The sequence below is a fragment of the Homo sapiens genome, chromosome 13 (genome assembly GCF_000001405.40).
Source record: "Homo sapiens chromosome 13, GRCh38.p14 Primary Assembly".
Lineage (NCBI taxonomy): Eukaryota > Metazoa > Chordata > Mammalia > Primates > Hominidae > Homo > Homo sapiens.
Genome location: NC_000013.11, coordinates 48,589,404 through 48,609,210, shown reverse-complemented (window position 1 = coordinate 48,609,210; position 19,807 = coordinate 48,589,404). Strand labels below are relative to the sequence as shown.

The following is a 19,807-nucleotide window of genomic DNA, read 5'->3' as shown; positions in this document are numbered from 1 at the left end:
TGTTATTAACTTAAAATAATGGGTTATAAGATAGTATTTGGAATCCTCATAGTCACCTCAAATTAAAAAACATACAACAGATACACAAAAAATAAAAAGCAAGAAATTAAATCATACCACCAGAGAAAATCAACTTAACTTCCACAAAGACAGGAGAGAAAGAAAGAAAAAGAAGAATACCACAAAACAACCAGAAAACAAATAACAAAATGGCAGGAATACATTCTCACTTATTAATAATGACATTGAATTAAATGGACTAAACTCTCCAATAAAAAGACATAGCATGTCTGAATGATTTTAAAAAAAGACACAATGATCTGTTGCCTACAAGAAACATACTTCACCTATGAAGATACACATAGACTGAAAATAGAGGGATGAAAAAAGGTATTCCATTCCAATGGAAACCGAAAGAGAGCAGGAGTAGCTATACTTTTATATCAAACAAAATAGATTTCCAGACAAATACTATAAAAAGAGACAAACAAGGTAACTATACAATCACAAGGAGTTAATTCAGCAAGAGGATATAACAATTGCAAATATACATGCACCCAATCCTGGAACACCCAGACATATAAAGCAAATATTACTAGAGCTAAAGAGAGAGAGAGAGAGACACCTAGACAATAATAGCTGGAGACTTCACACCCCCACTTTCAGCATTAGACAGATAGTCCATACAGAAAATCAACAAAGAAATATGAGACTTAATCTGCAGTACAGACCAAATGGACCTAAGAGATACTTACAGAACATTTATCCAATGGCTGCAGAATACATATTATTTTCCTCAGTGCATGGATCATTCTCGAAGATAGACCATATGTTGGGTCACAAAACAAGTCTTAAAACATTCAAAAAAATTGAAACAATATCAAACATCTTCTCTAATAACAATGGAATAACAGTAGAAATAAGTAACAAGAGGAATTTTGGAAACTATACAAACATATAGAAAATAAACAGTATGTTCCTGAATGACCAGTGGGTCAATGAATAAACTAATAAGGAAATTGAAAAATTTCTTGAAACAAATGATATGGAAACACAATATACCAAAACCTAGGGGATACAGCAAAGGAAAGACTAAGAGGGAAGTTTACAGCTATAAGTGCTTACATCAAAAAAAAGGAAAAACTTCAAATAAACAATCCAATGATGCATCTTAAAGAACCAGAAAATCAAGAGCAAACCAAACCCAAAATTAGTAGAAGAAAAAAATAATAAAGATCAGAGCAGAAATAAATGAATTTGAAAATAAATAAACAATACAAAAGATCAATCAAATAAAAACTTTAAAAAACAAAAGACTGATAAATCTTTAGCCAGACCAACTAAAGAAAAATGAAAGAAGACCCCAAAAAATAAAATCAGAGAGGACAAGGAGACATAACAACTGATACTGCAGAAATTCAAATGATCATTAGTGGCTACTATGAGCAACCATATGCTAATAAATTGGAAAATCTAGAAGAAATTGATAAATTCCTAGAGACACACAACCTACCAAGATTGAACCATGAAGAAATCCAAAACCTGAACAGACTAATAGTAAGTAATTAGATCAAGGCCATAATAAAAAGTCTTCTAGTTAAGAAAAGCCCAGGACCCAATGGTGTTGCTGCTGGAGTCTACCAAACATTTAGAGAAGAACAAATACCAATCCTACTCAAGTTGTTCTAAAAAACAAAGGAGAGAGGAATATTTCCAAACTCATTCTACAATGCCAGTATTACTCTGATACCAAAACGCAAGGAAGTCAAATTTTAAAAAAGAAAACTATAGGCCAATATCACTGATGAATATTGAGGCAAAAACTTTCAACAAAATACTAGCAAACCGAATTCAACAACACAATAAAAAAAAGGTCATTCATCATGACCAAGTGGGCTTTATCTCAGGGATGCAAGGATGGTTCAACATATGCAAATCAATTAATGTGATACATCATATCAACAGAATGAAGGACAAAAACAATATGATTGTTTCAATTGATGCTGAAAAAGTATTTGACACAATTCAACATCCTGACATGATTAAAAAAAAACCGTCAAAAAACTGGATATAGAAAGAACATACCTCAAAATAATAAAAGCTATATTTGACAGACCCACAGCTAGTATCATATTGAATGGGGAAAAACTGAGACCCTTTCCTCTAAGATTGGGAACATGACAAGAATGCCCACTGTCACCAATGTTATTCAACACGGTACTGGAAGTCCCAGCTAGAGGAACTAGACAAGAGAAAAAAATAAAGGGCATCCAGCCAGGCATGGTGGCTCATGCCTGTAATCCCAGCACTTTGGGAGGTTGAGTCAGGCAGATCACTTGAGGTCAGGAGTTTGAGACCAGCCCAGCCAACATGGTGAAACCTCATCTCTACTTAAAATACAAAAATTAGCCAGGTGTGATGGCAGGTGCCTATAATGTCAGCTACTTGGGAGGCTGAGGCAGGAGAATTGCTTGTACCCGGGAGGCAGAGTTTCCAGTGAGCCTATACCTCACCACTGCACTCCAGCCTGGGTGACAGAGCGAAACTCTATCTCAAAAACGAAAGAAAGAAAGGGCATCCAAATTAGAAAGGAAGAAGTCAAATTTTCCTTGTTTTAAGATGACATGATCTTATATTTGGAAAAACCTAAAGACGCCACCAAAAAACCACTAAAACTGATAAGCAAATTCAGTAAATTTGCAAGATACAAAATGAATATATAAAAATCAGTAGCATTTCTATATATCAACAGCAAACAATCTGAAAAAGAACCAAGAAAGTAATCCCATTTACAATAGCCACAAATAAAATAAAACACCTAGCAATTAACTTAAACAAAGAAGTAAAAAATATCTACATTGAAAACTATAAAACATTGATGCAAGAAATTGAAGAGGACACACAAAAAATGGAAAAATATTCCATGTCATAGGATTGGAAGAATTAATATTGCTAAAATGTCCATACTACCCAAAGCAATCTATAGATTTCATACAATTTCTATCAAAATACCAATAACATTCTTCACACAAATAGTAAAAACAATCCTAAAATTTATATGGAACCACAAAAGACCTAGAATAGGCAAAGCTATCCTAAGCAAAAAGTATGAAACTGGAGGAATCACATTACCTGACTTTAAATTATACTACAGAGCTACAGTAATCAAAATGGTATGGTACTGGCACAAAAACAGACGCAATGACCAGAGGAACAGAATAGAGAACCCAGAAATAAATCCATACATCTACAGTGAACTCATTTTTGACAAAGGTGCCAAGAACATACAGTGGGGAAAAGACAGTCTCTTCAATAAATGATACTGGAAAAAACAGACATCCATAGGAAGAAGAATGAAACTAGACCCCTATCTCTCACTATATACAAAAATCAAATCAAAATGGATTAAAGACTTAAATCTAAGACCTCAAACTATGACAACCAAAGAAAAAACTGAACAAATGAGATCACATCAAATTAAAAAGCTTTCACACAGCAAAGAAAACAATCAATAAAGTGAAGAGACAAGAATAGGAGGAAATATTTGCAAACTACCCACCTGACAAAGGATTAATAGCCAGAATGTATTAGGAACTCAAACGACTCTGTAGGAAAAATCTACTAATTTGTTTTAAAATGGACAAAAGATCTGAATAGACATTTCTCAAAAAAAGATATACATATTGCAAACAGGTATATGAAAAGGTGCTCAACATCATTGATCATCAAAGAAATGCAAATCAAAACTACAATGAGATGTCTCACTCCAGTTAAAATGGCTTTTATTCAAAAGTCAGGCAATAATAAATGCTGGAGAGGATGTGGAGAAATGGGAACCCTCGTGCACTCTTGGGAATGTAAATTAGTGCAACCACTATGAAGAACAGTTTGGAGATTTCTTGAAAAACTAAAAATAGAGCTATCCCACCATCCAGCAATCACACTCCTAGGTATATACCCGAAAGGAAATCAGTATATCAAAGAGATATCTGCACTTTTTTCTTTTTTTTGAGATGGAGTTTTGCTCTTGTTGCCCAGGCTGGAGTACAGTGGCGCAGTCTCGGCTCACTATAACCTCTGCCTCCTGGGTTCAAGTGATTCTCCTGCCTCAGCCTGAGTAGCTGAGACTACAGGTGCCCACCACCACACCCGGCTGATTTTTGTATTTTTAATAGGGATGGGGTTTCACCATGTTGGTCAGGCTGGTATCAAACTCCTGACCTCAAGTGATCCGCCCACCTTGGCCTCCCAAAGTGCTGGGATTATAGGTGTTAGCCACCACGCCCAGCCTGGATATCTGCACTTCTATGTTTGTTGCAGCATTGTTTACAATAGCTAAGATTTGGAAGCAACCTAAGTGTCCATCAACAGATGAACAGATAAAGAAAATATGGTACATATACACAATGGAGTACTATTCAGCCACAATAAAGAATGAGATCTTGTCATCTGCACAACATGGTTGGAACTGGAGGTTGGAATTTCATTAAGTTAAGTGAAATAAGCCAGGCACAGCGAGACAAACTTCACACGTTCTCACTTTTTGTGGGAGATAAAAAGTAAAACAATTGAACTTATGGCAATATAGAGTAGAAAAATGGTTACCAGAGGCTGGGAAGAGTACTTGGGGTTGGGGGGTTGGGGACTGTAGGGGAGAAGTGGGGAAGGTTAATGGGTACAAAAAATAGAAAGAATGAATAAGACCTAGTATTTGCTAGCATAACAGGATGACTATAGTAAAAAATAATTTAATTTTACATTTTAAAATAACTAAGAGTATAATTGGCTTTGTTTGTAACACAAAGGATAAATGCTTGAGGTAATGGATACCTATCCACCCTGATGTGATTATTATGCATTGCATGCTTGTATCATAATATCATATGTGACCCATAAATATATATATACCTATTATATACCCACAAAAATTAAAAATTAAAATTTTTGAAAAGAAATGAAATACTGATGCTGTATAACATGAATGAACCTTGAAGACATTATGGTAAGTGGAAAAAGTCTATCACAAAGGATCACATATTGGATAATTCCATTTATATGAAATGTCCAGAATAGTCAAATCTGTAGAGTAAAAACATAGATTAGTGGTTGCCTAGGACAAGGGGGGAAAAGGAGGATTATGGAGGGGGGATGATGCCTAAGGGATGTGAAGTTACTTTTTAGGATAATAAAAATGTTCTAAAATTGATTGTGGTGATGGTCATTAAATTGTAGTCTTTAAATGAATGAATTGTATGATATGTGATTATATCTCAAATATATTTAAAACTGTTTTTTAATAAATAAAGGTAAATATTTAGAGATTTTTCTAAAAAGCAATTATTCATGCAAAAAATCATGTAGGTTAATTGTCTCCTTCCCCTATCATTCTCCCACCCCAGAAGAAAAGAACTAGCACTTGTTGAGCACTTCGTTGGTGCCAGGCAATTCTGGTTCCAACTCTGCCAAGGTCATACAAGCAATAAAAGGGGACACCAGGTCCCCTGAGGAAGGACTCTGCTACATTGCCAAAAATGTATACCGTTTATCTTTCTCCCAGTCATCCCCAAAGGGACCTGCAGCCTTTTATCAGAGGAACTGTGCACTGGGGAAAAAGAAATAATCAGATTGTTTCAAGGATGACTGGACACTGGCTTTGAACTGATACTAATTTCAGGAGACCCAAAATATTACTGTGGTCTGCCAGTCACAGTAGGGGATTATGGCTGTTAGGTGAGGGGATGGTTAATTTTACATGCTAACCACTGGGCTGCAGGGTGCCCAGATAAACATTATTTCTGCGTGTGTCTATGAGATTGTTCCTGGATGAGATTAGCATTTGAATCGGTGAACTCAATATAGATGGCCCTCTCCAATGCAGGTGGGCATTCTCCAATGTATTGAGGGCCTGAATAAAGCAAAATGTGGAGCAAGGAGGAATTTGCCCCTTTTTTTTCTGCCTCACTGGGACATCTCATCTCATCTTCTGCTCTTGAACTGGGATTTACACCATCGGTACCTCTGATTCTCATGCCTTCAAACGTAGACTGAAGTACAATACCAGCTTTCCTGGGTCTCCAGCTTATAGATGACAGACTGTGGGACTTCTCAGCCTCCATTATTGTGTGAGCCAATTCCTAATAATAAATTCCTCATTCCTCTCTCTCTCTGTCTCTCTCTCTCTCTCTGTCTCTCTCTCACTCTGTCTCTCTCTCTCTCAGTCTTTTTCTCTGCAAATCCCCGACAATGGAGTTTGACTACGTCCACCTCATAGTAGACCCAGCGGGTCCCTGAACCCATCCTGTGGTTATTTCCCCATTTCTAGAATGCATAATTGGAATAGACTTACTCAGCAGCCTGCAGAATCCCCACATTGGTGGAATTCTAGACTGAAATTCAAGTCTGTTCTTTCCATTATGCTGAATGTCTTGAGGGCGAAAGACCAAAGTATTAACATGGGTGCCAGCAGCACTGGAATTTATTCCTACTTTCTACATAATGAATTTATGGCTGGGGATCTGGTTTCTCAGAGGTGATTAGAAGCAGCAAATTAGAAGGAGACACAAATTAGACAGAGACATACTAATGTCAGCAGTGAGGGATAAACATTGACAACCCACAGTGAGGCAGAACCCACAGGAAGTAGGCAGAAACTCAGGGAGCAAAGCAGTCTGCCGAGGATGGGCAGAGAGGCTACCTGCCTCCACCGCCCTCAAGGGCACACCTCAGAGCAGAGTGGCCCTTCTCAAACTTGAGCATGCATGAGAAGCACCTGGAGGGCGTGTTAAATCACAGAGTGCTGGGCTCCACCCCCAGGGTTTCAGATGCAGCATGTCCAGGGTGAAGTCTGCACTTACATTTCTGAGAATCTGCGTTTCTAACAAGTCTCCAGGTTGAGGGGTTGCTGATGCTGCTGGTCCAGAGTCCACACTTTGAGAACCCCTGGCATATATTGGTGTTCCCAATAATGATCCTGAATCTTTAAAACAAGATTAGATTATTCTGGATTCCTATGTACAATGAATTTAAAGTAATTCGGGTCAAAATAAGTAAGAATAAACTTTTTGGCATTTAAAGAGTTAAGGTTTGAAAATTGGAAAAATTTATTCATAAAGACCCAGCCCCCACATCACCAGAGGAGGCCTAGGGCCTTCCCTGATTACCTAATCAGGTGGCCTCCTACAATATCACTCCCTCAATCTCCTGCCCACTTTATATCATTTCATAGCACATATTGCAACCAGATATTATATGTTTTTTTGTTTATGATCTTTCTCCCACAAAAAAATAAGCTCCGTGATGACAGGGCTTGTTATCTTTTGTTCACCACAGAATCCCAAAATCTGGAACCTGGCCCTTAGTATGATCTTAATAAATAATTATTAATGAATAAATGAATAAACCAAATAAAACATTTATTTTGCTATAATGCTTGGAGGAGGCCAGAGTACAGGAAGGGGGCTGATTGCTGGGAGGTTACTCTTCAAGCAAAAGGACCCTTCCCACTCTACATGTCCTTTGAGAAAATGGAATTTAAGGGGAGCAGTAAATGAGAGAAAAGAAAATGCTGTTTTTGAAGAGGCTGTTCTCCATCTCCGTCTAGATGCTAAGAATGCAATTTCAGGCCAGACAAAGTGGTTCATGCCTCTAATGCCAACACTTTAGGAGGCGGAGGTGGGAGAATCACTTGAGGACAGGAGTTTGAGACCAGCCATGGCAACATATGCAGATACTCTGAAGGCTGAGGTGGGAGGATTGCTTGAGCCCAGGAGTTCAAGGTTACAGTGAGCTATGATTGTACCACTGCACTCCAGCCTAGGTGGCAGAGCAACCCCCTGTCTCAAAAAAAAAAAAAAAAAAATCCTGAAGAAAGGGGCAGAAAGGCCCCACAGAGCTCAGCACTCATACAAATTCCAGGTTATTTCTACCCAGGGACCTCCAGCTGAGCTCATGATGCTCCTTGGAGAAGTGCTGCCTGGGCTTGAAAGACTGGCTCAGCTTATCTAGGTTTATCTGCCATTCCGTGAGCTCAGTGTTGCTGGCAAAGGGGGCAGTGCTCTGTGGCGAATTCCCTGCACAGTGACTCGCCTGTGCTGCTGGAAAATATTAAGGTTTCTGCTGGTGGAAAAATACAGAAAAAGCAAAACCACACATCATCCTTCCTCCTCTCCCCTTCTCTGCTAAACTATGTATTGTTTTCCCTCTTTGTCACTCTTCCAAGAGGCCCACCACATACCTTCCTGACACAGAAATATTAAACCAGGAAGCCAAGAGTTCAGCTAGGCTCGTTTCTTGATTACAGATGATGTCATTAAGTAGCACATCCAGGACTGAAATTCAACTCCATCCCACAACAGAGCTTTCTACCACCCCCACCCCCCATCTGAAGACTATGAGCTCCTGTGGGGAGACAGCTGCTGCATTCTCATGAACATGGTGTCTGGCACCTTAATAGGTCTCAAGAAATAGTTCAGGAATGAGTTTGTGAATGGCTCGCTCTTGTCTATTCCCACAAATACTTTGCAAGAGGTAGTATGATTGTTGATGACATCTCTGTTGAGGTTAGAAAGAGAGAAGGATGCAATAGAGAAGTTCTGGAAGGATATGCAGGTGTAGTGTGTCTCAGGAAAATTAATTTCATGATGTCAGCACTTTCCAGGGTCTAGTCTAGTTGTTTGGGTCTAGAAACCCAATCTTTACAGTGCATTCATAGTTGAGTGTTGGAAACTGCCTCAAGCTAACTAAATTCACAAAATACCAGCATGCTATTAATTAATTCACAATATGCCAAAGGGACTGAGTATTTGAACTGGCTAATTCAACCATTCTCTCCCTAAGGAAAAATAATATAATTTGGGAAGCCACCTCCTTTAACTGTGAGTCCATATAGGGCCCTTATTATGTCACTCCAACCCCTAGCACAGTGAATAATCACACAGAGAGTTATTTTTTCGTAGAAGATAGGCTCCATGAGGGCAGGCGTTGCCTGTCTTGTTCACTGCTATATCCCAGGCTCCTAAAAGAGTGCCTGCCACATACTAGGTTCTCAATGGGTGTTTGTTGAAAGAATGAATACTTGAAGAGTTCTTTAATCAGCACAAAGTTAGGACAAATAAATTTTGTTTTATTGCCCTGTTGCTATTGAAAAGCTTATATGAAGTGATACAACCAACTCTGTTAAGAGAATGCAGCTGCCAAGCAGATGTTAAGGCCATGCCCCCGACTCCTGACTGGCATCTTCTTCATTGGGTGGTATTGAAAACACTGACATTTTGCTCTTTGACCTCCCTTTCACTCTGGAGATCTGCTGGTTGGCACATTCTTTCTTGAGACAAAGTGCTAGCCAGTTGTAATTTTCTCAGTTGTACTTACCTTCTGATCACTCCTCCCCATGACTACACCTTGGCATCCTGGTCACCCTGCTTGAAAGGGGTGAGCTGAAGACTTGCCAGCTGCACATCTGTACTTCTTGGAGGGAGTCCTATTCTACACATGTTGATTCATCCTTGCTTCCTCCACAAAGGGCAACTGAGTGTCCTGGTAGCCTAACCATAGTCTGTAGCAAGTGTAGGGGTGAAACGGTAATGCCTGTCCTCACTCATTGCAAGGTCCCCAGCTAACACCCCTATGATGAAAGACAGATTCACAAGAAAAAAGTATAACAAATTTATTTAACAAAGTTTTATGTAATACAGGAGCCTTCCGAAACAAAAGACCCAAAGACCCAGAGAAAACTTTTTTTTTAATGCTTAGGTTTGATGAAGACTGTACTGCCATGTAGAAATGTGATTGGACAAAAAGGACATGTCCCAATGGTAATAAGCTGAGATGGGAATCCATCATGGCTTGTTTGTTTAGCTTCTTCTTGGCCTCTTGCATAACATTTCTTTCTCCAGGATAAGGCAGGATCACCTGTCAAATGAGAGTTTTAAGGGGAGAAGAAAGGTCAGAGACTGACATTTTTAGGTTTATGGTTTGCTTTGGGAAAGAGGGGTTCTAGTTTCTATGACCTGCTGTGGGAAAGAAATGAAAGAAAGAGAAAGGAGAGTGGGAGAAGCTCAGAAAGAACATCTTGCTTCTGAGGCCCTTCCAATCTCCCTCAGTGCAAAGTATTCAGCATACCAAAGTGCTATACTTGAGGTTCTCATGTTCTGATTCCCAACACAAACATTCAGAGGGAGTTGTGGAAAGAGCAGGCAATTGGAAGTACAAATGAAACGGGGGAGTTCCCTGACCCCCCTTGCAGGACGTGTGATGGGTGTGGCTCATCCATTTGGCCATCTTGCTCTCAAACCCCTTATGGGAGCAGGAACATGCAGACAGGCAGGTGTAGGAGCTGGGGCAAGCACTTTTGGCCTCCGGCCCCATGGTTGCATCTAGGGGTGGGTGCCTGTGACTCCCGAAGCCCAAGTGGGCATGTGTTACAGTGCGCTCTTTCACCCTTGCTGTCCATGGATGGCTTAAGTGTTAAACAGCTCAGTGGACCCTCTGCCTTTTTGCAAGGGCAGAGGGCCAGTGTGACAGTTTTCTGTATTCCGAGCTCTTGTCCAGTGTCCAGGAAAAATAAGGTCACGCCTGGACTTAAAGGATGGCAAACGTGGGAGTTTTACTGAGTGGTGGAGGTGGCTCTCAGTGGGATGGATGGGGAGCTGGAAGGGGGATGGAATGGGAAGATGATCGTCACCTGGAGTTTGGCCATGCAGTGGCCAATCTCCTCTCCTACTGTCCCCAGCCTAGCTCCTCTTGACATTAAGAAGCTCCTTCTCTTCTCTCCTTCTCTGCTCTTCTGTTTGTCTGCTTGTGGAGCCTGGGGTTAGGGTTTATAAGGGTACAGGATAGGTGGGTGTGGTGGGCCAAAAGGCAACTTTTGGGTGTGAAAACAGGAATACCTGTTCCCACGTAGGACTGAAGGTTTCCAAGATTGAGGGTGGGGCTTTTGCCAGGGAGCCACCCTCTTCTACCTAGTATTTCCCTGTTTGCTGTCTGTATCCTTTATCCTTGCACTCCATCTCCAAAATGTGGGGCCCTCCTGAGCCACTAGCTCTCAGGTCTACCCATTCACTGCAAATTCCAATTAACATGTGCATAATGCCTTAGAGTTTATTAACACTCTACACACTTTTCCTATTGCAATTCCCCTGTCATAATAAATTGGCTCTAACTGGGTAGTGGGCAAGAAGAACTCATGGGGTGGTTACAAATACAAATTTAATTTAAAAATTGTGATATAACTATATTAGTAGCTGGGGGAGGGAGGAGAAATAAGGTGGAGAATGTTAAGACAGCTAAATCTTCATCTGCCATAATAGAACAACAATAGCTACTGTCTGGAACTGACAAGTTGGGAAATAGCAATATGTGTATATTCCTTAGAAATATGGAGTTAAATACCAGAAAAAAATAGAAAGGGTTTAGAAGGTTAAAAGAGGTTGCCTTCAAGGAACAGGAATAAGGAGACAGAAAGACAGAAATGTGAAGCAAGAAACCACCATTATTTGTGTGTAGGGGAGGAGAAAATAATTTTTTCTCTACCTTTTCTGAGTTTTTTGTTAGGACAGACCCCTGTACCGAAATTAATAAGAGAAAAAAAACAAGTTTATTAATATGTATATCTCATGTATACAAGGGAGATAGCCAGGGAATGAATAATTCTTGAGAGCAGATCTCAAATAGGTAGCTTTGACTTCAAGCTTAAAAACCATCCTTTGCTAAAACAGAGAGGGAAGGGTATGGAGAAGGCCAGTTACGAGGAGACAGCCAGGAAAGCACCTGAAACCAGGGTGAGGTTTGCGATGCAGATTTAAATCCATGCCTTTTTCATTGATAAGAGTTTCTAGTGATTTAGAGTCATTCTTCTCTTCCTGTTGCAGACAGGAAGACACCCTTATGTATGGAGATCTCCTTTATAGACATAAACTTTCCTTACAAAAGGGTAACTTCTACTGTTGTTTTCAGAGATTCTCCTCTGCTGCAGTTTCTCAAAATAATCAGCTCAAAATAATCCTCATGCTAAAGAGGCATATTTGGGGGTGGCATGTTTCTGGTCTCCTAAAGTCATAGGAGAATTCAGGACATGTCCTGAATCCCATCATTTGTCTTAAGTCTTTTACTACTATTTGACATATATATGGCAAATATATATATACATGTTAACGGAAAGGCATCCAGATCCAGACCCCAATAGAGGGTTCTTGGATCCTGAGCAAGAAAGAATTTGGGGCAAGTCCACAGAGTAAAGTGAAAGCAAGTGTATTAAGAAAATAAAGAAATAAGGAAAGGCTACTCCGTAGGCAGAGCAGCCCTGACAGCTACTGGTTGCCCATTTTTATGGTTATTTCCTGATGACATGTTAAACAAGGGGTGGATTATTCATGCCTCCTCTTTTTAGACTATATAGGGTAACTGCCTGATGTTGCCATGGCATTAGTAACTGTCATGGCACTGGTGGGAGGTTAGCAGTGAGGACGACCAGGGGTCACTCTCATCACCATCTTGGTTTTGGTGGGTTTTGGCCGGCTTCTTTACTGCAACCTGTTTTATCAGCTAGGTCTTTATGACCTGTATCTTGTGCCGACCTCCTACCTCATCCTGTGACTTAGAATGCCTAACCTCCTGGGAATTCAGCCCAATAGATCTCAGCCTTATTTTACCCACTCCTATTCAAGATGGAGTTACTCTGGTTCGAATGCTTCTAACACACACACAAGTGTATACACACACATACGTGTGTATTTGTGCTTACATATATGTGTATATGTTTGTATACACATATATCCATACCTTTTCTTGATAAAAGTTAAAAATGAACAAAGAAGGCTAGGGTATGCAATGCATGATAAGGAAATTTTCATCAAAAATAGCTAGTGTCGACAAGCAACCACTTTAGATTTAAGATGCAACCTTCAGCTCTCTGAAAAATGCTCTGACGTGGTCCTCTTCACTCCCACACTGAAGTCAGCATGGCTTACCATACTCACTACACAAATCTCCTTTCAGGCTCCACCTGTTCCATTACCTGAGCAAACAACAGCAAGCAGCAACCCATGCTGCCAACTCACTCTCTGAGGTGAGTTCCAGAACCTACAGGGTGGCATTATCACATTCTTGGGCTGACAGCACTTTTGCCTCCGTGGCTCCCTCTTCATTAAAAAAAAAAAAATTAAAAATTGTATTTGAAACAACTGTATTGGTTTAAAAATTGACATAGTCTAGATTCATTATTAGGTATTCATTAATATTCTATTTTTTCTTCTGATTTTGAAAGTAATTAAAACACTTTCATGGGTCCCTAAAAGTCTCATGGGCTCTAGGCACAGTGCCTGCTCCACCTAATGGGGAAATTGGCCCTGAGAACCTGAGGCAGGAAGAAGGGACAGATCAGCAAAGCACTCTGCCACCCTCTGCAGGTCCTGGTAGAAAAGTATCAAAAGCAAAGAAATAATAAAACCCTACTGGGGCAAAGTCATCCTTACATCAGCTGGTATTTGTTAGGGAGTTGTCAGGTGCAACTTGCAAAAACATCTTGTCAAATGTCCACAGCTTTCCTGTGAGGTGACTCTCACGTCCACAGATATCCAGTGGCCCCAGAGGTTAGGTTTCATGTCTCAGTTCACCCACGCCATTCATGGCAGCCCAGGAATGTGTAACCACTCAGTCTGGCTCTTCCCTGCCTGTCAAGGAGGTGAGGCCGTAGGGTGTGGGGTGGGTGGTACACCTGCTCCCTGTCACCCTCCGAGTCCTCCCTTCCACACCCACACTCTGCCTTGCATGGAAATTAAACATCAGTGACTAATAAATTTGAAGTCAAAATCTAATGTGCTTTTTTTCACTCGCATCCGTGTGAAGAGACCACCAAACAGGCTTTGTGTGAGAAACAAGGCTGTTTATTTCACCTGGGTGCAGGCGGTCTGAGTCTGAAAAGAGAGTCAGCGAAGGGGAGATAAGGGTGGGGCCGTTTTATAAGATTTGGGTAGGTAAAGGAAAATTACAGTCAAAGAAGGGTTGTTCTCTGGCGGGCAGGAGTGGGGGTCACAAGGTGCTCAGTGAGGGAGCTTTTTGAGCCAGGATGAGCCAGGAGAAGGAATTTCACAAGGTAATGTCATCAGTTAAGGCAAGGACCGGCCATTTTCATTTCTTTTGCGGTGGAATGTCATCAGTTAAGTCAGGAACAGGCCATTTTCACTTCTTTTGTGATTCTTCAGTTACTTCAGGCCATCCGGGCATATACGTGCAGGTCACAGGGGATGTGATGGCTTAGCTTGGGCTCAGAGGCCTGACACTTTAACAATTCCATAAATGTGCTTTCCTTTGCCTCTACAAAGATCAGACTTTTTGTGACATTTTCCCCCTTCTGTTTTAGTTCTTTCAGGCTGTGCATTCTGTTTAGTTCATTACAAAAATATCATAAACTGGCTTGTTTATAAACAACAGAAGTTTATTTCCCACGGTTCTGGAGCTGGGAAGTCTAAGATCAGGGTGCCAGCTGATTCAGTGTCTGCTGAGAGACCATTTCCCGGTTCGTAGACGACTGTTTTCTCACTGTGCCCTCACATGGAGGAAGCGGGGAGGGAGCTCTCTGGAGTCTCTTTTATAAGGGTGCTAATCCCATCTGTGAGGACTCCACCCTCATCACCTAATCACCTCCCAAAGGCCCTACCTCCAAATACCATCACCTTGGGGGTTAGGATTTAAACATATGAATTTTGGGGGGACACATTTAGTCCATCGCATGTTCAAATCTGAAATATTCCTTAGTGGCATCCCTGTGTTCCTGTCCTGTTAGTGTTGTGCTGCTGACCTGGGTGGCAAAGGCTAAGCCTCTGCTCCAGCTGGTCCATTTTGCAAATGCTGTACTGTGAGTATTGCATTTGCACAGTCAGGGTCCCCTTTCCCCTGAAAATTCAAATGAGGCCACAGACAGCTGGCAATTTCAACTCCACCTCATTTTCCCCAGCTCTTACTCATTTCTGTGCCTGAAAGGGACTGAATGGGTGGGGGAAGGTGACAATTTGCATTTATATAGAATCCCAGCTTTAAGTTAATTAATCAAAACACTAAGCTACCCTGACAAATCCTTCAGGGAAAGCAGAAAGCTAAACCCTGCTGCACCTTGTTTGAAATAATGATTCAGGCTGCGGCAAAATCTCACAACAGGCCCCCTGAAGCTCGCGACCTACCACCTGCGGAAAATCTTTCTGCAGGAGGACTTCATTCACTTATCCCGACAAGATGATCTTCCTTTCCACTTTTCCTATCTCACCTCTGTACCCACTCCCCAGGCAAAAACACTCCATAATTAAAGAGAGAAAATATGCTCAAGAGGAACAGAGATGTTTCCTGAAGTAAATAAGAAAAGTAAAACAATCCATGAAGGGCTGGGTTGCACGCCTGCCCTCAGGTGGGTTGAGGCAGAGTGCCAGGCCCCAGGCAGTGGACACACACCAAGCAAGCATGACACTAGCAATCACACCCTTTGGGTTCCTTACGACACACTGTGGGAGGCTGTGAGGAAACCATCGAGGGAAGAACAGGCAGACCTGATGCAGAAATTCGATAAAAGATAGAATTCACCAGGACATTAACATATGCAATGAATATTGGGGTGGGACCCAAACTGTCCCTGGAGTAATTACCTTAGGGGAATAGGATGGAGAAGGAGGTGCAGGCATTCTTCACTTTATATTCTTCTGGAGGTTTGTACGGCTGGCCCTTGAATAACATGGTTTGAATTGCACTTTTATGCAGGTTTTTTCAATAAAAGTTACACTGAGTGTGCTGCCTCTCCTGCCTCTCCTTCCACCTCCTCCACCTCTTCCACTTTTGCCACCCTTGAGACAGCAAGACCAATCCCTCCTTCTCCCCCTCCTCTTCCTCAGCCTGTTCAACGTGAAGAAAAAGATGAAGATCCAGCTTCACTTAATGAAGAGTGAATATACTTTCTCTTCCTCATGATTTTCTTAACACCATTTTCTCTTCTCTAGCTTACAGTTTATAATGCATATAACACCCTATATATGCATTAATCAACTGTTTATGTTATTAGTAAGGACTCTGGTCAGCAGTAGCCTATTAGTAGTTAAGTTTTGGGGGAGTCAAAAATGATACATGGATTTTCAACTGCATGGTGAGGGGGGGGTGGCGGTTAGTGCCCCTAACCTCTGTGTTGTTCAAGGGTCAACTGTACTATTTCTGTTAAACAAAGAGCATGGATTGCTTTTACCACCAAAAAAAGCATTATAAAAAATAAATTATTTTCAGCTACTGCATAAAAGAAATTAAATTACAGCCACAGGAAAACCCCAAGGGGGAAATGATAAGGGCAGAGAAGCTAGAATTAAAGGACCTAAGTTCCTTATTCAGCTTTCTGAGCCTCAGATTCTTTATGCAAAAAACTGAGGAAATTGTAATACTTGCCCACTGTGGTCACCCCAGGACGATTAAATGAGATAATAGGTGGAAAAAAGTGCAGCTTATTTTTCACTTGGTCCTTTAACTTTACACAGTAATGAAGTTTAAATGCTATGGCCCCTGTAAACCAAAAATAAAATTCTAAGCTCCCCAACAGACTGAATGGACCCCTCTGGATTCAGGGGGACCGAAAGAAAACCAGAAAAACTAGTTTAGGCTATGAGGGGAAGACAGGGTGTCAGATGTGTCTCCTTATACTTTCTCCTTTCTGGAATTCCTTTCTGGAATTCAGGCACAATTGACCCGCATTAACATTAAAAGAGAGATCTTATTGCTACCTTGTAGCAATAAGACATCAAATTCCAACCTGACTCTAGTATAACATCACATGACAGATAAAGAAGGAAATCAAAATATTTTACTCCAAAATATGTTTCTTTGCCATATTTTGAAATGGTCCTGCATAGCCATCTTTTATGGGGGTAAATTTGCATCTGTAAAGAATCTCTGTTAACATAGAGTCTTTCCCCTTCCAGGGCCTCCTGATCCTGAAAAGATTAAGAGTCTAGCACCTTTCAAAGGCCTAAATAAGAAACATTTGCCAACTATTGTCTCTAAGAAGTCTCAACTATGAGACTTCACCTATATAATAAGAACCTTGGTCTCCACAACCTCTTATCTTAACCCGGACACTCCTTTCTATTGATTTCAGGTCTTTAGATAATAACTTAACTCTTTCAACCAACTGCCAGTCAGAAAATCTTTGAATCCACCTATGACCTGTAAACTCTCCCCACCAAGTTGTCCTGCCTTTCCAGACCAAACCAATGCATACCACACATGTATCGATTAATGTTTTATGTCTCCCTAAAAGGTATGACACCAAGCTGAGGGAAGAGAGAGACCCTCTCACATTGTTTTATATTGTTTTATACTCGTACCTGTTTTAAGAAAAAACAACAAGGAAGTAAAACCAAAGGCAGGCAGCCCGGTGCCAGGCCCGAAACCAGGCCTAGGCCTGCCTGGCCTAAACCCACTAGTTAAAAATCAACTCATAACTTAGAATCCGATGTTATTCACAGATTCCAGACATTGTATAGAAGAACATTGTGAAACTCCCTGCCCTGTTCTGTTTCTCTCTGACCACCAGTGCATGCAGCCCCTGTCACGTACAGCCTGCTTGCTCAAATCAATCATGACCCTTTCATGTGAAATCTTCAGTGTTGTGAGCCCTTAAAAGGGACAGAAATTGTGCATTCGGGGAGCTCGGATTTTAAGGCAGTAGCTTGCTGATGCTCCCAGCTGAATAAAGCCCTTCCTTCTACAACTCGCTGTCTGAGAGGTTTTGTCTGCGGCTCGTCCTGCTACAAAGCTATAGCCTGACCACGTTGGGCACATGTTTTCAAAACCTTTGAGACTGTGCCTCAGGCTATGGTTGCTCATTTTTTGGCTCAGAGTAAACCTCTTTAAATATTTTATGGAGTTTGGCCTTTTCATTGACACTCCCAAACAAAGTTTTCCAAGGGACTTTCCTTCGGGTGTGTCTTAGGCAGTTTGAGGGCCACCAGCCCTGAGGAGCTGCCCAAGGAGACATGGTGACCTCTCAGCCAGGTGGCCAGGACAAAGCCATCAGACTCACAGACATGTCACCTAAACAGGTGTGCACACACACTCATAGGTAAAGGCAAACATAGAAACAACATTTACCAACATGAGGCAACAGAGAGGCCAAAACAGGTGTCACGGGCCAGGCACTGAGGGGACATGACTCTCAGGCTGGAGGGAAAGGGCATTTGTCCCTAAGCAAAATTCAGCTGCCCAAAGCAACATCCCACTGAGGAATGAATGGTACTCTGAATTCCAGGGTCAAGTCAAGCTGCCACTAAAGTCTGATTTTGCTTCTTCTTTCTTTACTCATTCCTCAGCAGCCCCTCATCCCCCACAGACTAAGAATCACCACACACACTGGCCACCTCGCCAGCTGAGGGCAAGAGGTGAGACAGAGAACCTCTACAGTGGCAATATGGTTTGGCTGTGTCCCCACTGAAATCACATCTTGATTTGTAATCCCCATAATCCCCACGTGTCAAGGGAGGGCCCAGTGGGAGGTGATTGGATCATGGGGGCAGTTTTTCCCATGCTGTTCTCATGATAGTGAGTTCTCACGAGATCTGATGGTTTTACAAGGGGCTCTTCCCCTTTTGCTTCCTTCACACATGCTCACTCTCTCCTGCTGCCATGTGGGAAGGTCCAAGCTTGCTTACCCTTTGCCTTCTGCCATGATTGTAAGTTTCCTGAGGACTCCCTAGCCATGCAGAACTGTGAGTCAATTAAACCTCTTTCCTTTATAAATTACCCAGTCTTGAGTAGTATATTTATAGCGTCTAAGAACAGACTAATACAAGTAGGGTGGGGTGTGGGCGTGTCTTAGCTCAGGCTGCTGTGATAAAAATACCATAGCCTGGGTGGGTTAAACAACAAATATTTCTTTCTCACTTCTGGAGCTGGAAGTCCAAGATCAGGGTACCAGCATGGCCAGGTTCTTGGTGAGGGCATTCTTTCTGCTTTCTTGTGTCTTCACCTGGCAGAGAGAGGAAGCAAGCTCTCTCCTGTCTCTTCTTATAAGGGGACAAATCCCATCATTAGCTCTCCACCCTCAAGAACTAATTAACTCCTGGGTTTCAATATATAAATTTGCAGGGCGGGGATTGGGACACAAACACGGAGTTCATAACAGGACACTCTCCAGATTTGGACCCAGAACACTGCAGGAAGCAGAAACCAACTGCAGAGAAATAATATGCACCATCCCTAGTCTAAAGTATAACTTACCCACAATGGTCACCCCAGGAAGATTAAATGATATGCTAGTGGGAAAAAGTGCAGAAAAAAATATCTGCACAGGGTTGACAAGAATGGCATGCTGGGTTCCAGACAGAAGTATAGTTATAATTAATCATTAATCAGGCCGCACTTTGGCCCAATTCCTTTTTGCTAAAAGTCACTAGATCCTTACTATTTGCATCCCCATTGTTCATAGAGATAGGATTTCTGATGTTAGGTCAAAAGACTATTTAAAAATGGATTTGCATCCACATTGTTACTATAAATAGGATCCCTGACATTAGAATCATTAGACTTTTATTTAAGGATTGCTTAAGATGTTTTTCAGCCCCTAAATTCCAGCAACCAGTTTGAAAGCCCCCACAGAGAAACAGGATGAGCATGAGAGCACAACTGCTTTCATCTCCCTGTCCTGTGACTACACCCTGCACTCTTCAACCAATCAACACTCTCCACCCTTTGACCCCCTCCAAAACCCTTAAAAACTCTAACCCCAAATTCCTCAGGGACATACTTTTTTTTGTTTTGTTTTGAGATGGAGTCTCCCACTGTCGCCAGG

General features: G+C 41.4%; 2 long non-coding RNA genes across 4 annotated transcripts in view; one reads left to right on the top strand and one right to left on the bottom strand.

Annotated features, from left to right (window-relative positions):
* Nucleotides 1–9,650: 9,650 nt before the first annotated feature.
* Nucleotides 9,651–19,807, bottom strand: part of LOC105370202 (uncharacterized) — an 18,370-nt gene continuing 8,213 nt past the window's right edge. Inside the window, exon 3 of the long non-coding RNA XR_941958.4 lies at nucleotides 9,651–9,909. This is a non-coding gene — a long non-coding RNA (uncharacterized LOC105370202). The remainder of the gene's footprint in view (nucleotides 9,910–19,807) is intronic.
* Nucleotides 18,613–19,807, top strand: part of LINC01077 (long intergenic non-protein coding RNA 1077) — a 23,001-nt gene continuing 21,806 nt past the window's right edge. For 2 of the 3 annotated variants that reach the window (NR_170268.1, NR_170269.1), the window contains exon 1: nucleotides 18,613–18,725. This is a non-coding gene — a long non-coding RNA (long intergenic non-protein coding RNA 1077). The remainder of the gene's footprint in view (nucleotides 18,726–19,807) is intronic. The other variant, NR_170270.1, reaches the window with a different exon arrangement.